The sequence below is a fragment of the Homo sapiens genome, chromosome 1, assembly GCF_000001405.40.
Source record: "Homo sapiens chromosome 1, GRCh38.p14 Primary Assembly".
NCBI classification, from domain to species: Eukaryota; Metazoa; Chordata; class Mammalia; order Primates; family Hominidae; genus Homo; species Homo sapiens.
The window spans coordinates 94,686,369-94,707,782 of record NC_000001.11 but is presented as its reverse complement, the minus strand read 5'-3'; the positions used below and the strand labels follow the sequence as shown (position 1 = coordinate 94,707,782).

The window sequence follows — 21,414 nt, the reverse complement described above, 5'->3', positions numbered from 1 at the left end:
TGATGCTGATGCCTGTGGAAAGAGCGGCTGAAGATGGCTTCTCAGGCTTTCATCTTGACCTCCTCCTCTTACTTCACACTCGCCCTGGGCTCCAGCCTCAGCACCCAAGACGTCAACCACCTCCCACCAGGCTTGCGATGCCAAATCTTTATCTCTAGCCTGACTCCCAGCACCTTCCAGTCGTCTGCCTAGAGTGGAGGCTGGCTGGCTCCAGTTCCCTTTCCAACAGCAGCCAGGGTGGCCTGCCTCAAACGCACACATCTGGCCACAGCACTCGCCCACGCCCGCGTAGGAGCTGGCCCTGGTCACCGTCATCCACGTCAGAGATCACAAACATTTGGAAATGTAACTTGTTTTTCAAATAAATGTTATATTCAAAACCAATAGAAGAAACAGATGAAAAGTTATCTTATTGGTAGATATGTACTTTATAGGCACACATTGTTATAAAGCCAGTCACTCTGAACAATGTGAGTATTTTAAGAAGTGTAAACATTTGACATTCATGGTCATGGGTACAGTTGCAGTTTTATGTCAGCCTTGGTATTCAATTTATTCCTGCATTTGTTTCTATTGTCCAATGTTGAGAAAGTTCAATTCACAGAAGTAAGTCATAAAATTGTTTTGCTTTACTTTATTTTTAATTTTTAAACAGCTTGCCTTGAAATCTCAGGATGCGCTCAATTAAACAGACCCAATACCTTAAATGTGGAGTAGGAGGAAAATTTGATTCTAAGTTGAATCATTAACAATATCTAAGTGCTTTTACTCCCTGTGTTAAATGTAAAAGTCAAATCAAAAGCAACCCAGCCTCAGGACAGGTGCTCGTGTGATATGATCCTGACTGCACAACTCACCATTATGCAGTGGGAGGGATCGTGATCACCTAGGTTTTGCCTGTGTGAATTTGGTTGAGTGTGACTCAGTTTACCATAGTAGTATGCTTGTACAAATTGAGAGGACATGCATGGACCTGGATTTTAAGAAATCACCTATATAGAGCTACAATCTTACTAATCAGTGACACCTCTGTTAAACATTCAAAGTTATGAATGAAACTAGCAGAAAAGATAAATTTTTCAGACTATCTCAAAGAGAATTTTCCTGGCAACATGAGTTAATACGTTGGTGGTCTCCAACATGTTACAATGTTTTGATACAAAGCGCATGTGACTATGTTGTTGTAAAATCACAGTTGATTTTTTAAATGATTTAAAGTACATATTTTGGGTAGCTTTTAAAAAAGTATTTATTTAATTTTAACAGGATTTATTGGTTTTCTTTGATTGCCTCTGGTCAAGCTTTGGAAGTTATTTTATTTTTTTAAATAGAAAATTCATGGAAATGGTGCAAAAGCCAAAAGGTGAAAACAACAAAAAAAGTATATTTTGTGACAAATAAGTCTCCTCCCTCAGCCCTGTTCCCAAGAAATGTTTTTCTTCCCAGACGCCACACCACATTTATCAGTTTCTTTGAATCCTACCAGAGATAGTCTATGCCTCTGTGTGTGTGTGTGTGTGTGTGTGTGTGTGTGTGTGTGTGTCTTAGCTTGGGTTGCCCCAGGAACAGACTTTGACACAGGATTTAAATGCAAGCAGCTCATCTAAGAGGTGCTCTCAGGAAACACCTTGCAGGAAGGTGAGGACAAAAGATGGGAAAGGGAAGGTAGCCAGTGGAGGAAAATTGATCAAGTAAATTACCGCTGTGGACAACCAGAGCTAACCCCACTGGGGAGCTCTGAGAGCCAGCATAGGACCTGTGGCTCAGAGTTATTTCTCCCAAGGGGAAATGGAGCTGGAATTTTATAACCAACTCCGTTGTCTGAGAGCTGTGGGGTGTGGGCAACCGGCCATGTGGTCAGGCACAGTGGACTCTGTCTGTCAAAGAAAACTCAGTCAAAGCAATGCAAGGGCTGGCAGTTTGAAGTGGGCTAGTGTGTAATGCAATGTCAAGGAGCAGGAAGTATGGGCAGGGTACAAACAGCATCTGCTACAATATTATCTGAAACACATTTTAATGAAATTAGCACCAAACATGTGCAGTAACTCATGGCCTAGCCCCATGAATGCCAGGCTTCCATAGAGACTGGTCTGAAGACCGTTGTCATTTTTGGCATGGCAAACAAAACCTTCTGGGGTTGATTCTTTTGGTTACTTCTGGTTCCTTTTCCATTTTGATCTCAGTCAAGTTTTTGCCCCAGTAATACAAATGACTTGTGCTTGCAGGTCCCCAGACAGTCCCGGTGTGCACACTTCCCTGCTTCTGTTCATGATGTTCTCTGAACCTGGGATCACCTTTCCCCTTCCTCTTACCTGCCCGATCCTACTTGTCCTCCCAGATTCAGGTGAGTTGGAAAGAATAAAACTGGCCTTATGGAGTTGTAGAAGCCTCAGTGAGAGGATGTGTATAATATTCAGCATGGTGTTTGGCACAAAACTCAGTAGTGGTCATCTGCCTGCCTGTCCATCTCCCCATCTGTCTGATAACTTGGGAGCCCACCCCAATGTTCCCAGACTATACCGGGATTCCTCTCTTCTGTGCCATCCTAGCACCCTAGGCACACCCATAGGAATGATCTGCTTGTCTGTCTCCCCCGATTGTGCCGGAAGCTTCTTTGGGACAGGAAGCAGACTTTGCTAATCTCTGAACCCCCATTGCTGGTACAGTGCCCAACACACAGTATGGCTTAGTGAATGCCTGGATAGAATTCAACTGAGTGCACCACACAGTAACAATTCTTTGAGGTGTTTGTGCAAATTCTGAAGAAGGAAAAATCACTGCACATAGGGTGGCTCATGAAGGTGTTTTTAGATGGGCCTCTATAAGAGACACACATATAAAGATTGCTTCCTTCTTCCTATTAGAAGAGCGAGCCTTGTTGACCTATGACTTTTTTGCATGCTAGATTGCATGCAAGATTGTTTTGCTCGTTACTTTCTCTCTCTCTCTCTTTCTCTCTCTCTCTCTTTCTTTTTAATGGATAGTCAGTCCACAAATATTTTCTGAGTCCCTACTATATATTGGACACTACTCTAGGGGATGGGGATACAGTGGTGCACATGACAGAAGGAGATCCTGCCTCAAGGAGCTTCCACTTTCTTGGAAAGTACAGAGTGGAATGTTCATTTGGACTGGCCTGCTGCTGCCAGGAGGATCTGAAGAATCTGGAACAAGTGGGGCTTCTCAGGGCCTGGCTGATGGATACATCAGACAGTTTTAGGTAAAGACGCAGGGGCAAAGATTCCAATTTGAGGCAAGCACCAAAGGAGATCAAGGACAGCTATCATTTAGAAACATACTGAGCACTCAGCTGTGGCCAGAATATGGAGGGCATAAAGAGATATAAGCCTCAGTCCCTGTAAAGATTTGCTGTCTACAATGGGAGAATAGAGTTAAGTCTCAGTTATTGTGAGTGGATTAACAACTTGATGACTATCCAGGTAATGAATAATTATAGATTCAAAGGAAGGTACAAAAAGTAGTTTAGAGGGGGACTGTGTACTCTTCACCCAATTTTCCCCAATATCACAGCCAGACAGTTGACAGTAGTATAATACACACACCTTATTTAAAGTTCGCTAGTTTTGCATCTGATTTTATACATTCTTAGCACACGTAAATTCATGTAACAACCACCATAATCAAGACACAGAACTGTTCTAGCACTACAGAGATATCTCTCATGCTATGCCTTTGTAGTCACATCCCCAATTCCCTACTCCCTAGCCCCTGGTACTGTTGAGTGTTGAGAGTTCATGTATTTTAGATATGAGTCCTTTGTCATATGTGTGTTTTGCAAATATTTTCTAGTAGTCTATAGCATGTCTTTTCATCTCTTTTATAGTCTTTCACAGAGCAAAATTTTAAAATTTAAATGAAGTACAACTTAATGGATTTCTTCTTTTGTTGATTGTGCTTTTAGTGTCATGTCTAAGAACTCTTCACCTTGCCCTAGCTCCTAAAGGTTTTCTCTTATGTTTTCTAAAAGTTTTATAGTTTTACATTTTACATTTAAATCTATAAGGAATTTTGAATTACCTTTGTATAAGATAGGAGATATAGATTGAAGTTCATTTTTTTCTTTCTTTTTGCCTAAGGATGTCCAACTTTTCCAGCACTGTCTGTTTAAAAGGCTATTCTTCCTCCATTGACGATCAGTTGACTGTACTTTTGTGGATTTAATTCTGGCTTTTCTATTCAATTTCATTGATCTATCTGTTCCTTCACTAATATACATCGTCTCTATTGTCTGTTGCTATGAAGTAAATCTTAATCAGATAGAGTGATTCCTCCCATTTAATTCTTTCAGGAAATTGTTTCAATTATTCTAATCCATTGCCTTTCCACGTAACTTTTATAATAATCTTGTCTAAGTCTTCAAAAAAACCTTGCTGGAGTTTTGATAAGAATTGTGTTAAAGTAATAAGTCAATTTCAGGAGAATTGTGTTAAACTAATGGAGAATTGGCATCTTCACTATGTTGAATCTGCCAATCCATAAACACAATATGTTTTTCCATTTATTTACTTCTTCTTTAATTTCTTTCATCATCATTTTGAAGTTTTCAGCAGTCCTGTACATGTTTTGTTGGTTATACTTACATATTTTTTATTTTGAGGAGGTGATAATGTAAATGAATACTGTGTTTTAAATTTTGGTTTCCACACGGTCATTGATAGTATACAGAAATACAATTGATTTTTGTATATTGATCTTGTATTCTGCAACTGTGGTAAACCCAACTATTAGTTCTATGAGGGTTTTCTTTGCTTGATTTTTGGTTTTTAGATTCTTTGGGATTTTCTACACCAGACATTATGTCATTGGCAAATAAACAGTTTTAGTTCTTCCTTTCAAACTTTAGGCCTTATGGGTTATCAACTCTGAGGACCATCCAGGAAAAAAAGATTATTTAACCCCCAAGTACTCTTTCCCCACTCATTTCTGGATTATTTTCCCATTGTCCACAGTGCACTTGGGGAATACAGACTCACTCTTACATTAGATCAAGCAGCTATTATTAGGGAAAACATCTGGAAGGAATAAGATACATTCCAGAGCAAAGGAGGGAGGATCAGGGACTTTTCACATCATGCCTCCTCCATGAGCAAGGGTCAGTGAAGGGTGACTCTGTGTACTGTTTGTTCCCTTAGGTGAGGCCACCCAGGCCTCAGGCCTGACCTTCTCAAAGCCCAGCCAGGGCAATGAGTGACTCCTTTTTCAGCACTGGCCGAGGTCAGGGCCTCCTGAGGAAGGCTGGGAACAAGGACTGACCCCTGCTGGGTCTGAGGAAAGAATGAGATGAGGCCTTCTGAAAGCTGGGGAGCATTTAGAGGGGTTTTCAGTGGGTGAGTGTGGGCCATTGCTGATTCTTTTGCCTCTGAGCTGAGAAATCAGCTCCTAGGGGTCTTGCAGGATGTGGATTTAGTTGTGGTTTACCTGCCTTGCTTGCCAGCAGTAACAACACTGGGAAGTGAAATGAGAACTGTGTCCTTGACACCACCAGGGACACAGCAGGGAGTGAGAATCGGAGGGAGGATAATGCCTTCAGTTTCGTTTAGTTGTCTTTCAGCTAGCAAGATACATGAAACTGAAGAAACAGTAATATACCATATATTTCAAAAAGAAAAACCAAACCAAGGCTAGATGTGTGGACCCAAGTTATGCATGGAGATGTATAAGCAATGCTGTGTGAGTGAAGGGATCCAGTATAATTAAATCTCTATGTACCCAAACTACTGGGAGTTTTAAAAATCACAGTACTATTTACTTTTATGATAAAGTGATAAAAGTGCTGGGCATTTTTTATGATAAGGTGCTGGGCAATTCATCACTGGAATATACTGAAACATTATACTGTATGCAACACATGTTCAGCACATTTGTTAAAGGCAGATATGTTTAAAGAAGTTGAAACAAGGGGAATGCAATTCTCCCTGATACATCCTTGGCTGTGGAGACACTTATTTCATCTAGAATAATATTTTCGTCTACTTTCTGTAAAGCAAGAGGTGAAAATACTTTCTTTTTGTTTTTAAAGTTAAGACTATCTTGAAAATGGCAACTTGGAAGAAACCTTAAAGGTAAAATTTAGTTAATCGGTGTAATAAGTTCCTATGGTTTCTCTGGTCTATTCCATGCCATACACAACTTAATAGCCATTCTAGCAGTGTTATAACAACACTGTTTTAACAACTTCAGAAGTAACTCCACTGATGGGTGTAGCCAAGAGAGTTTTATCTGAACTCCAGATCCTGGCAGTATAAGACTTTTCAAGCAAAATGCAGTCGGTGCCTTAGCTTCATGGAGTGCAAGCCTCATCTCCTACACTGCATGTGGATTTCCATCCCTCTAGGTCTCCATTCACTGGTGTCCACAGCACACTAACCCCCTCTCACTGTTCACCCCAATACTGACCTTTCGATGTCAAGTAGACACTCCCCGCTCTCTCCAGGAAAACCTCCAGGAGTCACCAGATATCAGGATGAGGTACGGGGACTCCAGATGTCTAGGAGGAGAAGGCAGTCTTTTCTTGATCCAGGGCTCTTCCTTAGGTCAGCCTGAAATGCCCGGCATTCCTGTACACTTTTTCTCCATGCCCAGGAGTCCCTGCCCCAACTTTTATCGTTGCATCTTCTGTTATCTTTTTTCTTTTTGGTTTCTCATATTCCCTGAACCATCCTAGGGACCAATAGGAAATTCTCCCTTGTCTGTGATGCCATTTGCAGTGCTTCTGAGGTAAGAAGGAGCTGCAACTGCCCTCTGAATCTCAGCTCAGAGGATCCCACATAACCTGTATCTGCCAACATCTCCCTTTGCATTTCATGATGAAGAGCACTGGCCTGTGGGAGGTTTGATTGACACATACCTTTGATATCCTTTGCCTGGGCCATGTCTCCAGCCCTCTACAGCTAGGGCTGCCTCTGCAGAAGGATGGCGTTTTCATCTCTAATTGTGAAAGAGCTTTTAAAGGCAAGCTGGCCACAGTAATAAGCACGTAATCTGGAAGAAATCTCCTGTTCAATGGTGGATCTGAAGTTCCTTTTTTTTTTTTTTTGGTTGGGGCTTATAAACCTTCATTTGTAAAAGTTAATCATGGCATTCTTCTCAGGACCAGTAAGAGGTGATTTCAAAAGAGTATATGAAAATGATGTGAGCATTGGCTAACATGGGAGAAGGCCCAAACTCAAAAGGATAAGATCCTGAGTTAAGTGACACAAAAATTGAGTTCTAACAGGTGAGCAGGAGTTGACCCTGAAGATTAGGGTAGAGGAGGGCTTTGGGGGCAGAGGAAATGTTTGTGCAAAGGCAGGAAGACACATAAGAGCATGGCAGGCCAAGCAGCATTCTGGGTCCAGCCCAACTAGAGTACAGAGTAAATTATGGGGAGTGGAAAAAGACGTTGGAAATGTGTTAGTGTTCTCCAGAGAACTTGAAGGAATGGGATGAAACTGGCTCATGCAATTATGGAGATGGGCAAGTCCCAAGATCTGCACGGTGAGTCTGCAAGCTAGAGAACCAGGAAAGACTATGGTTTAGTTCCAGTCTGTGTCCAAAGGCCTGAGAAGCAGGAAAGCTGATGGTGTTTGTTCATATCTGAAAGCCAACAGGCTTGAGACCAAGGAAGAGCTGATGTTTCAGTTCAAGACCAAAGGCAGGAAAAAAGCTGATGTTCCAGTTCAAAGGCAATTAGGCAGAAAGAATTTCCTTCTACTCAGAGAAGGGTTAGCCTTTTGTTCTATTTGGTCCTTCAGCTGACTGGATGAGGCCCATCCACATTAGAGAGGGCAATCTGCTTTACATAGTCTACCAACTTAAATGCTTATCTCATCCAAATCACCCTCACGGAAATACCCAAATGATGTTTGTCCAAATATCTGGGGACCCCATTGTCCAGTCAAGTTGATGTATAAGTTAACCATCATGGAATCATAGGGCATGGAACAGTAAGAGGCCATTTCAAAAGAGTGTAATGTTCTGGGGCCAATTGTGATTACTTTCTCAAAGAGGATCAAGTTTCTTACTTGCTAGTTCAAGGGGTGGTATGCTGAGGAAATGTTTCTTACCCACTTTTAAAATCTGAATATTTTCTTACAATAATGGCTACCACTTACTGTGTATGTACTATGTGCTGGCTGTTCAGCAAACATCTCACTTAATCTTTTTTTTTTTTTTTTAAACTGGGTCTCACTCTTGCCCACCCTGGAGTGCAGTAGTGTGATCCTAGCTTGTTGCAGCCTTGAACTCTTGGGCTCAAGGGATTGCCCTGCCTCAGCCTCCTGAGTAGCTGTGACTACAGGTGTGCATTATCATGCCTGGCTAATGTTCTTTTTTTTTGAGAGAGAGATGGGGTCTTGCTATGTTGCCCAGGCTGGTCTTGAACTCCTGACCTCAAGTGATCTGCGTGCCTCAGACTCTCAAAAGTGCTGGGATTACAGGTGTGAGCCACTGTGCCCCACCATGTCACTTAATCCTATCACTAATCCTGCCCCCTACTGGGTTTACTGTCAAAGGAAGGGTTATTAGTGCCATCTATATGTGAAGAAACCAAGGCTCAAAGAGCTGTATGCTCACCAATGTTTACAGTGCCTGTAACACAGTAGGTATTCAATAAATATTTGTTAAATGATTTTAAGCCTCTAGTAAGTGTTGAAGTTAGATTTCAAAAGCAGATCATTTGACTCTAAAACCAATGGACTTTAGAAGAAGCTAGTGAGCACAGGCAAGGAAGAAAATATGTGACTTGGAGTTTGGGTAGTCAGACCTCTGACATTTTATCTGACTTCTCCCTGAGGTAGGCCAAGATGACTGAGCCTGAAAAAATTCTGATAATTCCAACAAAGTCTGTCAGCATTTAGCACAGCTTCTTGAAAGTGACCTTGAGCAATTAAATCATGCATATAGGCAGACATTAGTTCTGGTTCTGGTTGACTCAAAAATTCAACAGCCCCATTTACGGCATGCTTTTAAGTATGATTCTTTTCCCTGTTATTAATTCGTACTCAAAATTTCTCAGCAATAGCTAAAAAGATGGGGGATAATGTATGTTTCAAAGCTGCTTCATCTCTTCTAATGAACAATGTTTAGCTAGGGAGGGTATTGGTGAGGAAGAACGGCTGGTTATTGATTTCACAGAAATTATGTTGTCCAGTCTCAATAAGACATTCATCAAGGGGCTAAGTCTCTTCCTAGTAATTTATTAGTTATATATGGAAGCATGTTAAGTCTAGGAGGTCTCAAGGCACCACTTGATGTTTCTCAGTGGTGACTCATGACATAGAAAGATACCTTAATCACTCTTTGAGGTTCTTCCCAACTTTTAACTTAGGGGCAGCTTTATACCAGGAGCCCCGGACTTAAGCATTCCTTACTGTTTTTCTTCCCTCCCTTCCCTGCTCCTTCCCAAGGCTATGGAGAAACTGTTTTTCATCGTCAAAGAAAATGTGTAGATGATTTATTTATTGACACATTGTCATTGTACATATTAATGGGGTGTTGGGATTCACTCAGGATGATGGCAGAAATATTAAAGGGAAATATTAGGGAAAGTCATAGGAAATAGTCACAAATCTTTTGGAAGGCTGAAAGGTTACATAGCTTGTAATAATTGAACAGGCTGAAGGCAGCCTGTTACCTCAGAGCATTAAGTCATAGGGTAAATACTAGTAACAATAGAGGCTTCCCCAATTAAGTCTGTTTACCCTACCTCCTTTAACTAACCTTTGAGCCAGATGGCCCTCTGTGAGGGAGGTCGACCAGGGAAATTGCCCCCTAATGGTATTTACTTTAGACCGTGGTACCTGAGCTTTAATCATTCGTAGAACTACTCTCTTAACAATGTTAATTATCCACAAGTGTGTTTCCTCAAAGCTTCTATTATTAATTGTATACTAAATAAATGCCTGGAGTGCAAGCTGCTCAGGGCCGACCGCAGTGACAAACCTCTCTTGGTGTGCAGGCGGTCGGACGCTCAGCTGGACTGGCAAAGCAGAATATCTGTGTGTCAGTGTACATTTTATTCATCCGTCGTTTGGGTCAGGGTCTGCGGGCAGACCCCCACAGCTAATGCCCTTGTGTGAGGAGCAATACCTCACACACTACTCCAAAAAATAATCAACCTCACTAACCATCAGGGAAATACAATCAACACCATAATGGGATACCACCTCATTCTACAATTTGATTTTTCAAAAAATATATATATTTATGTATATCACACTATATATATTTTTATATATCACATATATATATCACACACACATATATATGTTGTATAACGATCCAAGTAGGGTAGTTAGTGCATTCATCATCTCATGCATTTATTATCTGTTTTTGGTGAGAACCTTCAAAAGCCTCTCGGCCGGTTGCAGTGGCTCACACCTGTAATCCCAGCACTTTGGGAGGCCGAGGCAGTGGATCACTCGAGGCCAAGAGTTCGAGACCAGCCTGGCCAACATGGCAAAGCCTCATCTCTACTAAAAATAAAAAAATTAGCTGTGTTGGCAAATGCCTGCAGTCCCAGCTACTTGTGAGGCTGAGGCATGAGAACTGCTTGAACTTGGGAGGTAGAGGTTGTAGTGAGCCGAGATCATGCCACCACAGTCTAGCCTGGGTGACAGAATAAGACTGTCAAAAAAAAAAAAAAGCCTCTCTTCTAGCTATTTCATAATATACAGTACTTTACTGTTAATCAGAGTCACCCTACTGTGCAACAGAACATCAGAACTGAATCCTCCTATCTAACAGTAACTTTGTATCCATAAACAAAATTTTCCCTAACCTTCCTTTTCTCTCCCCAGTCTCTGGTAACCACTGTTCTACTCTCTGCTTCTATTATATCAACTTTTTAAAAATTCCATGTGTGTGTAAAACCATGTGTTTTGTCTTTTTGTGTTTGGCGTATTTCACTTGACATGATGTCCTCCAGGCTCATCCATGTTGCCCCAAATGACAGGATTTTATTTTTTATGGCTGAATAGTATTCCATTGTATATATATATACCTCATTTTCTTTATCTGTTCATCCATTGTTGGAGTCTTGCTCTGTCTCCCAAGCTGGAGTGCAGTGGCGCGACCTCGGCTTACTGCAACCTCCGCCTCCAGGGTTCCAGTGATTCTCCCACCTCAGCCTCCCAAGTAGCTGGGATTACAGGCGCCAACCACCACATCTGGCTAATTTTTGTATTTTTAGTAGCGGCGGGGTTTCACTATGTTGGCCAGGCTGGTCTCAAATTCCTGACCTCAGGTGATCCACCTGCCTCGGCCTCCCAAAGTGCTGGGATTACAGGTGTGAGCCACTGTGCCTGGCCTCTTTTGTCTTTTTGTTGATAGCCATTCTAACTAGAATGAGGTAGTATCTGATTATGGTGTTGATTGTGTTTTCTTGATGATTAGTGATGTTGAGTATTTTTTTATATACCTGCTGGCCATTTGTAGTCTTCTTTTGAAAAATGTCTATTAGGGTATTTTGCCCATTTTTTTAAGTCTGGTTATTTGTTTTTGTTTTCTGTTGAGTTGTTTAAGTTCTTTATGTATTCTGGAAATTAACCCCTTGTCAGATGTATAGTTTGCAAATATTTTTTCACATTCTGTAGGTTATCTCTTCATTCTGCTAATAGTTTCCTTTGCTGTGCAAAAGGATTTTTAGTTTGATATAATCCTGTTTGTCTATTTTTGCTATTGCTGCTTGTGCTTTTAAGGTCTTATTTAAACAAATTTTTGCCCAGTGCAATGTTGTGAAGTGTATCCCCATGTTTTCTTCTAGTAGTTTCATATCTTAAGTTTTACATTTAAGTCTTTAATCCATTTTGAGTTGATTTTTTTATATGGCGAAAGATAGGGATCTAGTCTCATTCTTCTACATGTGGATATCTAATTTTCCACCATTTATTGAAAAGACTGTCTTTTCCCTAATGTGTGTTCTTAACAACTTGGTAGAAAATCAGTTGGCTGTGGGAGCATGAATTTATTTCTGAGCTCTTATTCTGTGCCATTTCTCTATGTGCTGTTTTTGTGCCAGTACCACGCTATTATGGTTACTACTGCATTGTAATATATTTTGAAGTCAAGTAGTGTGATGCCTCCAGCTTTGTTCTTTTTGCTTAGGATTGCTTTGGCTATTAGGGGATCTTCTGTGGTTCCATATGAATTTTAGGATTTTTTTTCTATTTCTGTGAAGAATGTCATGGTATTTTCATAGGGATTCCATAGTTTTAATAGGTCCACAGATTGACAGATTGCTTTCGGCAGTATGGCCATTTTAACAATATTAATTCTTCCAATCCATGAACACAGAGTATCTTTTCATTCATTTGTGTCCTTTTCAGTTTCTTTCTTCAGTGCTTTACAATTTTCAGCATAGAGATCTTTCACCTCCTTGGTTGACTTTATTCCTAGGTATATATTTTTCCTAGCCATTGTAAATGCAATTGTTTTCCTGATTTCTTTTTCGTATAGTTCATTGTTAGCATATAGAAACACTATTGATTTTTATATGTAGATTTTGTATGCTGCAATTTTACTGAATTTGTTTTTTAGTCCTTTTTATTTTTCTTTTTTTGGTAGAGTCTTCAGGGTTTTCTATGTATGCAATCATGTCATCTGCAAACAGGGACAACTTGACTTCCTTCTTTACACTTTAGATGCCTTCTATTTCTTTCTCTTGCCTAACTGATCTGGCTAGGACTTCTAACACTATGTTGGACAGAAGTGGTGAAAGTGGGCATCCTTGTCTTTTCCTGATCCTCAAGGAAAAGCTTTCAGCTTTTCACCACTCACTATGATGTGTGTGAATTAATTTTACAGGGCAGTCTGGCTATTTTGTCTGAGCTCACCAAAGACTTGATAAGGAGATCTCAAAAAGGACAATGTGCTTCATTCAATTATTTTAGACAATTGCTGATGAATAGCCCGAAAGAAGGAAATATGGGAGTAGCTTAGGAAAGAAGATTCATCCAGGCAATGGCCCATGGAAATGCCTTATTGTCTAAAAGCGACATGAGTCATACTGTGCCAGAAAGGTGGAAGGTTGGTTTTGGGAGGGATGTGTTGAGGGATTGGCTTACCCTCCAATCTAAAACTGGAAAGTGAAGCCGGAGGCTTTGTTTTGAGTCATATCACTTCAAGATACCATGTTTGCTGTGGTGTTACACCTCCAAATCACATCTGGAATGTGGCTTTGCCTCTTCCCACAGCCTCTATTACTACCATCCTCATCTGAACTACCATCATCTCTCCCCTGGGTAGCTGCAAAAGCCTGTTTCTTTCTCCTGCAGTCTGTTCTCCACACAGCAGCCTGGTGATCTGTGACAACCCAAGTCACACTGTGTCTCGACTCTGTTCAAAAGCTTCCTGTGTCTCCCCACATCACTCAGAGTAAAAGCCACAGTCCTTCTGTGCCCCCCTGATCTGACCACATGCAATCCAGACTCTCCTCTCTTCCCTCCCTGATCTCTCCTACTTAAAGATAGGACCCCAAACAATGACTCAGGCTCCACTTTCCAGTCTTAGGTGGTTAGAGGTCAAGGCTTCACCTCAACAAGTGCCTCTCTGTGACAACCATTGGCCTTTCTTGGGCCTCTCTGTCCTCCAGTCTTGTCAAGTTCAACACAACTTATATCAGTTATAGGCAATGGACCCGTTTCCACTGGCCTCCCTCTCCTCCTTGTTCACTCTACTCTAGCCACATTGGTGTCACTGTCTTTCTCAAACACACCAGCTCTCATTGCCTCGGGGCATTTACACTTGCTCTTCTCTCTGCTGGGAATGCTTTTTCCCCAGATAACTACATGGCATGCTCCTCCAACTCCTTTAGGACTCTGCTCAAATATTCTTTCTTAGGGAGGCCTTTCTGACTGTGCTGTTTATAATTGCAACGCCTGTCCACCCTCTTTTCACTCTTAGTACTCCCTTTCTTGAATTTTCTCATTAGCACTTTTCATGCCCTAACTTACTATATATTTTATTTATTGTATTTCACATGTTTCCCTGTCCCAAGAAGGCAGTGATTTTTTGATTTGTCTTATTCACTGTTGTTTCCCCAGTGCTTAGAAATACACTTGGCACCCCCTAAACATACATTCAATAGTTCTTGAGTGAATAAATGGTGAATGAATGAAGCATTAAGTGGTCAGCTAACATGTGCACTGCCTTGAACCCCATGTGCTTGATGTGAAAGGCATGCTGCATGCCCTAAAGAGATTCATAATCCATTTGGGAAGACAATGCTAAGAGAACTGATGGTTCTGTTGTTTTTATTGTGAGACACAGAGACTCATTCAAAAATACTCTCAGAAATTAGCATTGACTTTAAGGATACCAGTGGACGAAAATTGGTCCAGAAATCAGCAAGCCTTTGGGAACTTGAGGCAATGTTGGAAACCTCCTTCGTTTTCTTATTTACACAGTTTCTCTGTCTTGTGGGATCTCTATTCCTTTCCTTTTCCCAAGTACTGGTTTGTTCTTATCACCTACCAGGACGTCCACTCCATCCCTCATGCTCTTGTCTAGATCCCAAAGGGAGCTGCTCAGCCTCGTGCTCACCATCCCCCTGCTGGACAGAGCTCCTCACAACTTGTGGGTCTCTGAGCCCACCCAAGGTGGGCTGCCCTTGGCTAAGTACCCCCTCTTAGAACAGCCTCACTCTAGTTCCCAGAGTAGGGAGCTTGGTGCAAGACAGTCAGCCAAGGCCAGGACATAAATAGTATAAGACAGTTTGAGAGTCTGAATTTCTACATGGACTTCTTATAATTATAGACAATTTTTTAAAAATTGATTATAGAAAAATTGAAAGTATAGATAAGAAAAACATAGCCTAGAATCCTAATCACCATTAACATCTTGGTAAGTGTCCTGGCGTAATTCCCTTCCAGAGAGGCTCATCCTTTTAGGAGTATGGTCTTCACTACCATATTGTTTTCTATTTTTGTTTTTCTCACGTAACCATATTTTTTGAACATTCATGTCATATAGAGAGAGATATTGACATTTAATTACTGAATAGTGTTCCATTTTATGGATAGATTATAATGTATTTAACCAATCCTCTATTCTTGTATACCGAGACTATATCCAGTTTTTGATATTATAAAAAATGCTGAAGATATAGTTTTTATAAAAAATCATGATTACTTATTCTTTATTCTAGAAGCAGAATTTCTGGGCTAAAGGGCATAAATATTTTAAAAATAATAGTAGCTACCAGTTATTGAGCACTTGCTGTATACCAATTATTTTACCTGTAACAATCATAACACTTTTATAAACCAGACACCCTTACTATACCATTTGCAGATAAGGACACATGAATGGAGACATTGAATAACTTACCCAAGATTCCATGGCAAGTAAGTTGCAGAACAAGGATTTGAACACAGGAACTCTTACATGACACTGTCTCCCTGGTTAAGACGAATCACTATTATAATAAATTAAAGTATATAACCTATACATGCTGTAGGATTTTAGGGATAGAAAATAGGTGGAGAGATTGATGTAAGCTGGGAGAGTAGGGAAGAAATGATTGTAGCAGTGTGGGACCTGTTAGGTCTATGAGCAGGACTTTAACCCAAAGGGCCATATGTTACTGATAGTGACAGGAGACAGCTAAATGCCTAGGCAGATAAGGGAGGGTCCCTGGTGAAATACCACCTCCAAGCTGAAGACAGTTTAAAGCCTGAAAGCCAAGCTACAACTTAAATCCTTGGACTAAATTGAGAATTTGCCTTCCTATTTGGTCCACTTTCCTCTGACTGATCCCCACCCTTCACCTATTTTACGTATACCTACCCTTTCTTAATTGGTTTTCTACACTGTTGTGCTCACCTTTGAGCGGTGTCTTCACTTTAGCCTTTTTCACATACTCACAAACCAATCAGCACACACTCCCTGTTCTGAGTCCATGAAAGGCCCTGGACCCAGCCACACGGGGGACTTTCCTCCCTTTGGGGAGGGAAACCACCCCCCACATCCCCTCTCTCCTGAGAATTTTTTTTTCGCTTAATGAATTCTACTCCACTCACTCTCTGGTAGCTGTTTGCCTCATTCTTCCTGGTTGTGAGACAAGAACTCAGACCCAGTTGAGCTAAGGAACAGGAAGACTGCTACACTACAAGTGAAAAGGTGTATGCTACTGGTGGACAGATTCATTTCTTTAACAAATGCCATCACATGGGCCTCTAATTAACAATAATGTCCCCTGTTGCTGACCTTGGATGCAGCTAAGATGTTTCATAGTGAGATTTCATCTCTGACTCCAGGAGCCCCATTATTGATCTTGTAAACATAGAATTTGCTTGCTGGCCTCTTAAGCCAGCCAACTGCCACTTGATGGAGAAAACATTCCCTTTTTTCCTGACGGGACTGACAGTTTTGCTGGGGAAATTGCTCATTTGTCTCAGTAACCTGTGTTTCTGGAAAATTACTAACCTGTATCTAACTATTGTACAAACCCACTCTTAAAACAGCAATGTAAGGTTTATAGCTCTCCCTCAGGTGATAGAAGGGACAAGAGTGGGCTAAAAAGGGGCTGTCAGTGACTATCAAAGAGCATGTCAATCAGAGTGACCTTGTTGTTATTGCTAGTAACAGGTTCAGCCTGAACAGTAATGCAATTCAGGCTAATAAGAAATAACAGGAGCCGCCTGAGCATGGTGGCTCACACCTGTAATCCCAGCACTTTGGGAAACTGAAGCAGGTGGATCACCTGAGGTCAGGAGATCAAGACCAGCCTGGCCAACATGGCGAAACACCATCTCTGCTAAAAATACAAAAATTAGCTGGGTGTGGTGGCACGCACCTGTAGTCCCAGCTACTCAGGAGACTGAGGCACGAGAATCACTTGAACCCAGGAGGCAGAGGTTGCAGTGAGCTGAGATTGCACCACTGCACTCCAGCCTGGGTGACAGAGTGAGACTCCATCTCAAAAAAAAAAAAAAAGAAAGAAAGAACAGGAGTCTCCTAAGGGATTCTAAGAAAAGATTGCATCCCTCTTAAAAAGAAATGCAGAAACATTTTTTAATTTGGACAGTTTTGTGTTTTCATGTGATACAACAGTGAATGCCATTTTATAACCACAAGTTCAATAACCTGAGGACAGGCCAATAGATTTTCACTGAGGATGGCCAAGCAAGAAAGTGGAGAGAAGTTAGGATTTTGATGGTGTCACTAACCTGGGAGCCAGCCTATCATATCTGGGTAGTGTTTTTTGTTGTGTGAAATCAGAATTTTTCTCCATTATGTCAGGGTTTTTTTATTGGATTTTTAGTTACTTGTAGCCAAGAACATCCTAATACCAATCCCGCAGTGTTTTCATACTCAAAGTTTCTGATCTGCACTAGAATCCAGCGTATCTCCTCCTTCTTCAGGGGAAACATTCTAAAAGCCATCCTGGTTACGAATACAAATTAAACAGGATTTTACCATAACTGATTGGAGGGAAAAGAGGTGAAAGTTGAGTCATGCATGCTCCCAAGTCAGCCAAAGTGGTTCTGAGAATTGTTGCCAATGCCTATTTAGCCAGAATTCTTCAAATAATGTTTCTGGGCTCTAAACTTGAAATGTTTGTGGTAAGCCTTTAAGAATGATAATCTGTAGCATACCAAATATTTCCAGGCCCCTATTTATCCTACTCTGGGATGGGTGGGCATGTCTGGAAGTTGCCAGTAAATTTCACAACCGGTTCGTTACAACATGTTGTCTCAGTTCAAGACAACATTAGTAATAATAGATGGTAAGTGGATAATGAGGCTCTGAAGCTCAGAAAATCACAAAACCAGTGCCATCGAAGGACAGACAATGCCATTTTGCATAAGAAATAACCCATGCTTTTGTCCAAAATGCTCATGAAATTTTGAAAGCAAAAGTTTCTCTCATGACTTAGAGTCAATTTTTTTGTTTACTTTCACATCTCCTTTTATTTAATTCATATGGAGCAGACATCCGATACATCATTGTCTCCTGACTGCAGGATAAAGACATGTTTTCTAATTTAGTGTTTAGTAAAAGCACCCAGAAGGAGCCCATTTTTCTTTCTTTCTTTCTTTCTTTCTTTCTTTCTTTCTTTCTTTCTTTCTCTTTCTTTCTTTCTTTTTTTTTTTTTTAGACAGAGTCTTGCTCTGTCTCCCAGGCTGGAGTGCAGTGGCACAATCTCAGCTCACTGCAACCTCTGCCTCCCAGGTTCAAGCGATTCTCCTGCCTCAGCCTCCTGAATAGCTGGGATTACAGGCACCTGCCACCAGGCTCAGCTAATTTTTGTATTTTCAGTAGAGATGGTGTTTCACCATATTGGTCCGGCTGGTCTCAAACTCCTGACCTTGTGATCTGCCTGCCTTAGCCTCCCAAAGTGCTGGGATTACAGGCGTGAGCCACCGTGCCCGGTAGGAGCCCATTTTTCTAAAGGGCTCCAGAAATCTAGCATATTACAGTCATGGCCAGGAGGTAGTTTTACTTTAGAAGACAGCTGGTCTGTGACTTTTGTGAATCAGCTGGACAGGAAGTTCCCAGAATCCTAAGACTGTCCTCTCTTAGCCCATATTAGCTAGGATTAGAAAAGAGCGGATGTAATTTTAGTGTCACAGATCCTGCCAAAAGCCAGTGGCAGGTGAGGGTCTGGGGCTTGTGTTCTATCAGTAAGGGAAGTTGGGTGCAACACCCTCTTCAGGGCTTGAGGGCAAAAGACTAATTTGTGGGAGGTAGGGGCTCAGAGTTGCTGTGATTTGGATATTAAGCAAAGGAATATGACTTTCTTTTCTAATCAAAAGCTGTTGCACTGGATATTCTACACTTGTCCCTTTAGATCCCCTTTCCTCCCTCTCCACCATCCTCTGTGCTCCAGAAGGTTGAGGATCTGCATCAATAGGCTCCTTTGATCTCTGACCTCTGTTGGGTTTGGCCAAGGGAGGAGACTGGAGGCGGGAGGAGAGTGAGGTTGGGACTTTCTCCCCCCAGCTTCCTGTGGGCTATGGGGGGCTGTGGCTCCATTCTTCTACCGAAGGCACAGCCCCTGTTGAACAATGCTCCCCTGCTGTTACATTCTTTCCAGATTCTGGGAACTCCTTCCAGGTTACCTAGGAAACATAGGTAATGGCTTCCGACTGTTGCTAGTTCCTGGGCATCTCATCATCCTTTACTAATTTCCCTTAATCCCACGCATCTTTGTAGATAGTCAATTTCTTGACCTCAGCTCAGTTTTCCCTCTCACAGGTACCACTAGTCTCCCACTGAACCCTGACTGGTGCTGTTGTTTCTAGTTCAGATGTCCAGGTTCCACATGAAAATAAGTGGGTTGCACAAGCAAAGAAAACAGATTTAATCTATAGGGTAAAGGATTTTTTTTCTTTAGTTATTATTGTTATTTCTGTAAAATGTGAAGTCTCATTTTAAGAACTTTTTGGCCAAAACTGGTGTCATTTCTTTTTTTAATTTCTTTCTTTCTTTTTTTTTTTTTTTTGAGACGGAGTCTTTCTCTGTCGCCCAGGCTGGAGCGCAGTGGTGCGATCTCGGCTCACTGCAACCTCTGCCTCCCCGGTTCATGCCATTCTCCTGCCTCAGTCTTGAGAGTAGCTGGGAATACAGGTGCCTGCCACCATGCCTGGCTAACTTTGTTTTTGTATTTTTAGTAGAGATGGGGTTTCACCATGTTAGCCAGGATGGTCTCGATCTCCTGACCTCATGATCCGCCTGCCTCGGCCTCCCAAAGTGCTGGGATTACAGGCGTGAGCCACTGCGCCCGGCCCCAAACTGGTGTCATTTCTTAATCCAAACCTGCCCTGTGTCCCTTAGACCTAAGTAGCACTTGCTGAGCTCCTACAAATTTGTGATTTCCAAACCACTTGCTGTTCACTCCTCCCTCTTGTAAAGTGTTAGAAATTTCTGAGTCCTTAATGTGGAAGCCTGCAAAAGAAAAAAAAAATCATTAGCTTAGATTTCTGGATGTGAAACCAAAAAGATAATAATCACATAAATGAAACCTGTCTCCCAAGAGATTATCAACAGATGAGCTGGTAATATTTAGGCCTCAGGGGCTTAAAGATGTATAAAACACACTCTCTGACCTTAAAAAATTTAAGGTGCAGTCGAGGTGTTCTAACCCTTCACAAGGGAGAGGAGAGGACAATAAGTTGAAAATCATGAATGTAGAGGAGCTCCACCAGGGCCACTGAGGAATTAAGGATAGGTGGATCATTTGCATTTTAAAATGACACAGATTTTAGCAAGAATTTTCACAAATGAGACCTTGTATTTTATACACACACAGAGTTTACAAGTAGAAGTGGGTGGAGCTGGGGTCGGGGAAAGTATGTATAACAGCACCAGACCAATCTGGCTCAACTTTTATGGAAGAAAGTTGTGAGTTGTTTTTCAATTGCCATGGACCCCCAGGTTGAAGGTCACATAACCTGAGCATGCCCAGATGAAGCAAATATGCAACCACAGGGGGCTTCTAAGGGCTGGAACCGAGGAGTGGACTGAGGAGGGGGACTGATAAAAGAAGCAGACACTGCATGGCAGAATTCAGGCTCCAATCAGATCAAGCTCTGGCATCACTCTACGGCAGGGTCTAGGCAGATCATGCCTCCTGGCAACACCTAATTGCAGGATCCAGTCAGATAACACCTCCTTGCCAGTTGACTAGCAATAAAACTTTTCTTTTCTCAAAAGCTTGTGCCATAGTATTGGCTTCTGTGTGCATCGGGCACCGAGCCCATTGATTGCTTAGTAACACATGGACTCATGAACCCATCCTTTCAGCACCTATGAACTAAGTGTTAAAATGGGATTTTGTCCTGGCATGTTGGGAAGACAGAGGAGGAACACTGGGTCCAACCTGATATTTGGGAAGATTTCCTGAAGAAAATGATACCTGGGCCGATCTTTGGTAAAAGACTTATCCAAGTAAAGTAAGCATTGGGTAAATGAGTATCAACAGAGGGAATCCTGAGAGCAAAGCACAGAGGTGTGAAGCAATGTAGTGTGTGAGACAATTAAATGTAATTTTGTGCCCAGGTGATATGGTTTGGCTCTGTGTCCCCACCCAAATCTCAACTTGAATTGTATCTCCCAGAATTCCCACTTGTTGTGGGAGGGACCCAGGGGGAAGCAATCGAATCATGAGGGCCAGTCTTTCTCATGCTATTCTTGTGATAGTGAATGAGTCTCACGAGATCTGATGGGTTTATCAGGGGTTTCCGCTTTTTCTTCCTCATTTTTTCTCTTGCTGCCACCATGTGAGAAGTGCCTTTTGCCTCCTGCCATGATTCTGAGGCCTGCCCAGCCATGTAGAACTATAAATCCAATCAAGCCTCTTTTCTTCCCTGTCTTGGGTATGTCCTTATCAGTGCGTGAAAATAGACTAATACACCAGGATAGAAAGAGGATTTTAGGACCCAGCAGGACCTAGGGGGCCAGGCAAGGCCT

At 41.7% G+C, this 21,414-nt stretch overlaps 1 long non-coding RNA gene across 7 annotated transcripts in view; it reads left to right on the top strand.

The window, feature by feature from the left end:
- Positions 1-21,414, top strand: part of SLC44A3-AS1 (SLC44A3 antisense RNA 1) — a 203,881-nt gene that overhangs the window by 112,450 nt on the left and 70,017 nt on the right. For 3 of the 7 annotated variants that reach the window (NR_104131.2, NR_160784.1, NR_160781.1), the window contains one exon: positions 2,226-2,344. The exons of the other annotated variants lie outside the window; for them this stretch is intronic. This is a non-coding gene — a long non-coding RNA (SLC44A3 antisense RNA 1). The remainder of the gene's footprint in view (positions 1-2,225; positions 2,345-21,414) is intronic. 7 annotated transcript variants of the gene reach the window in all.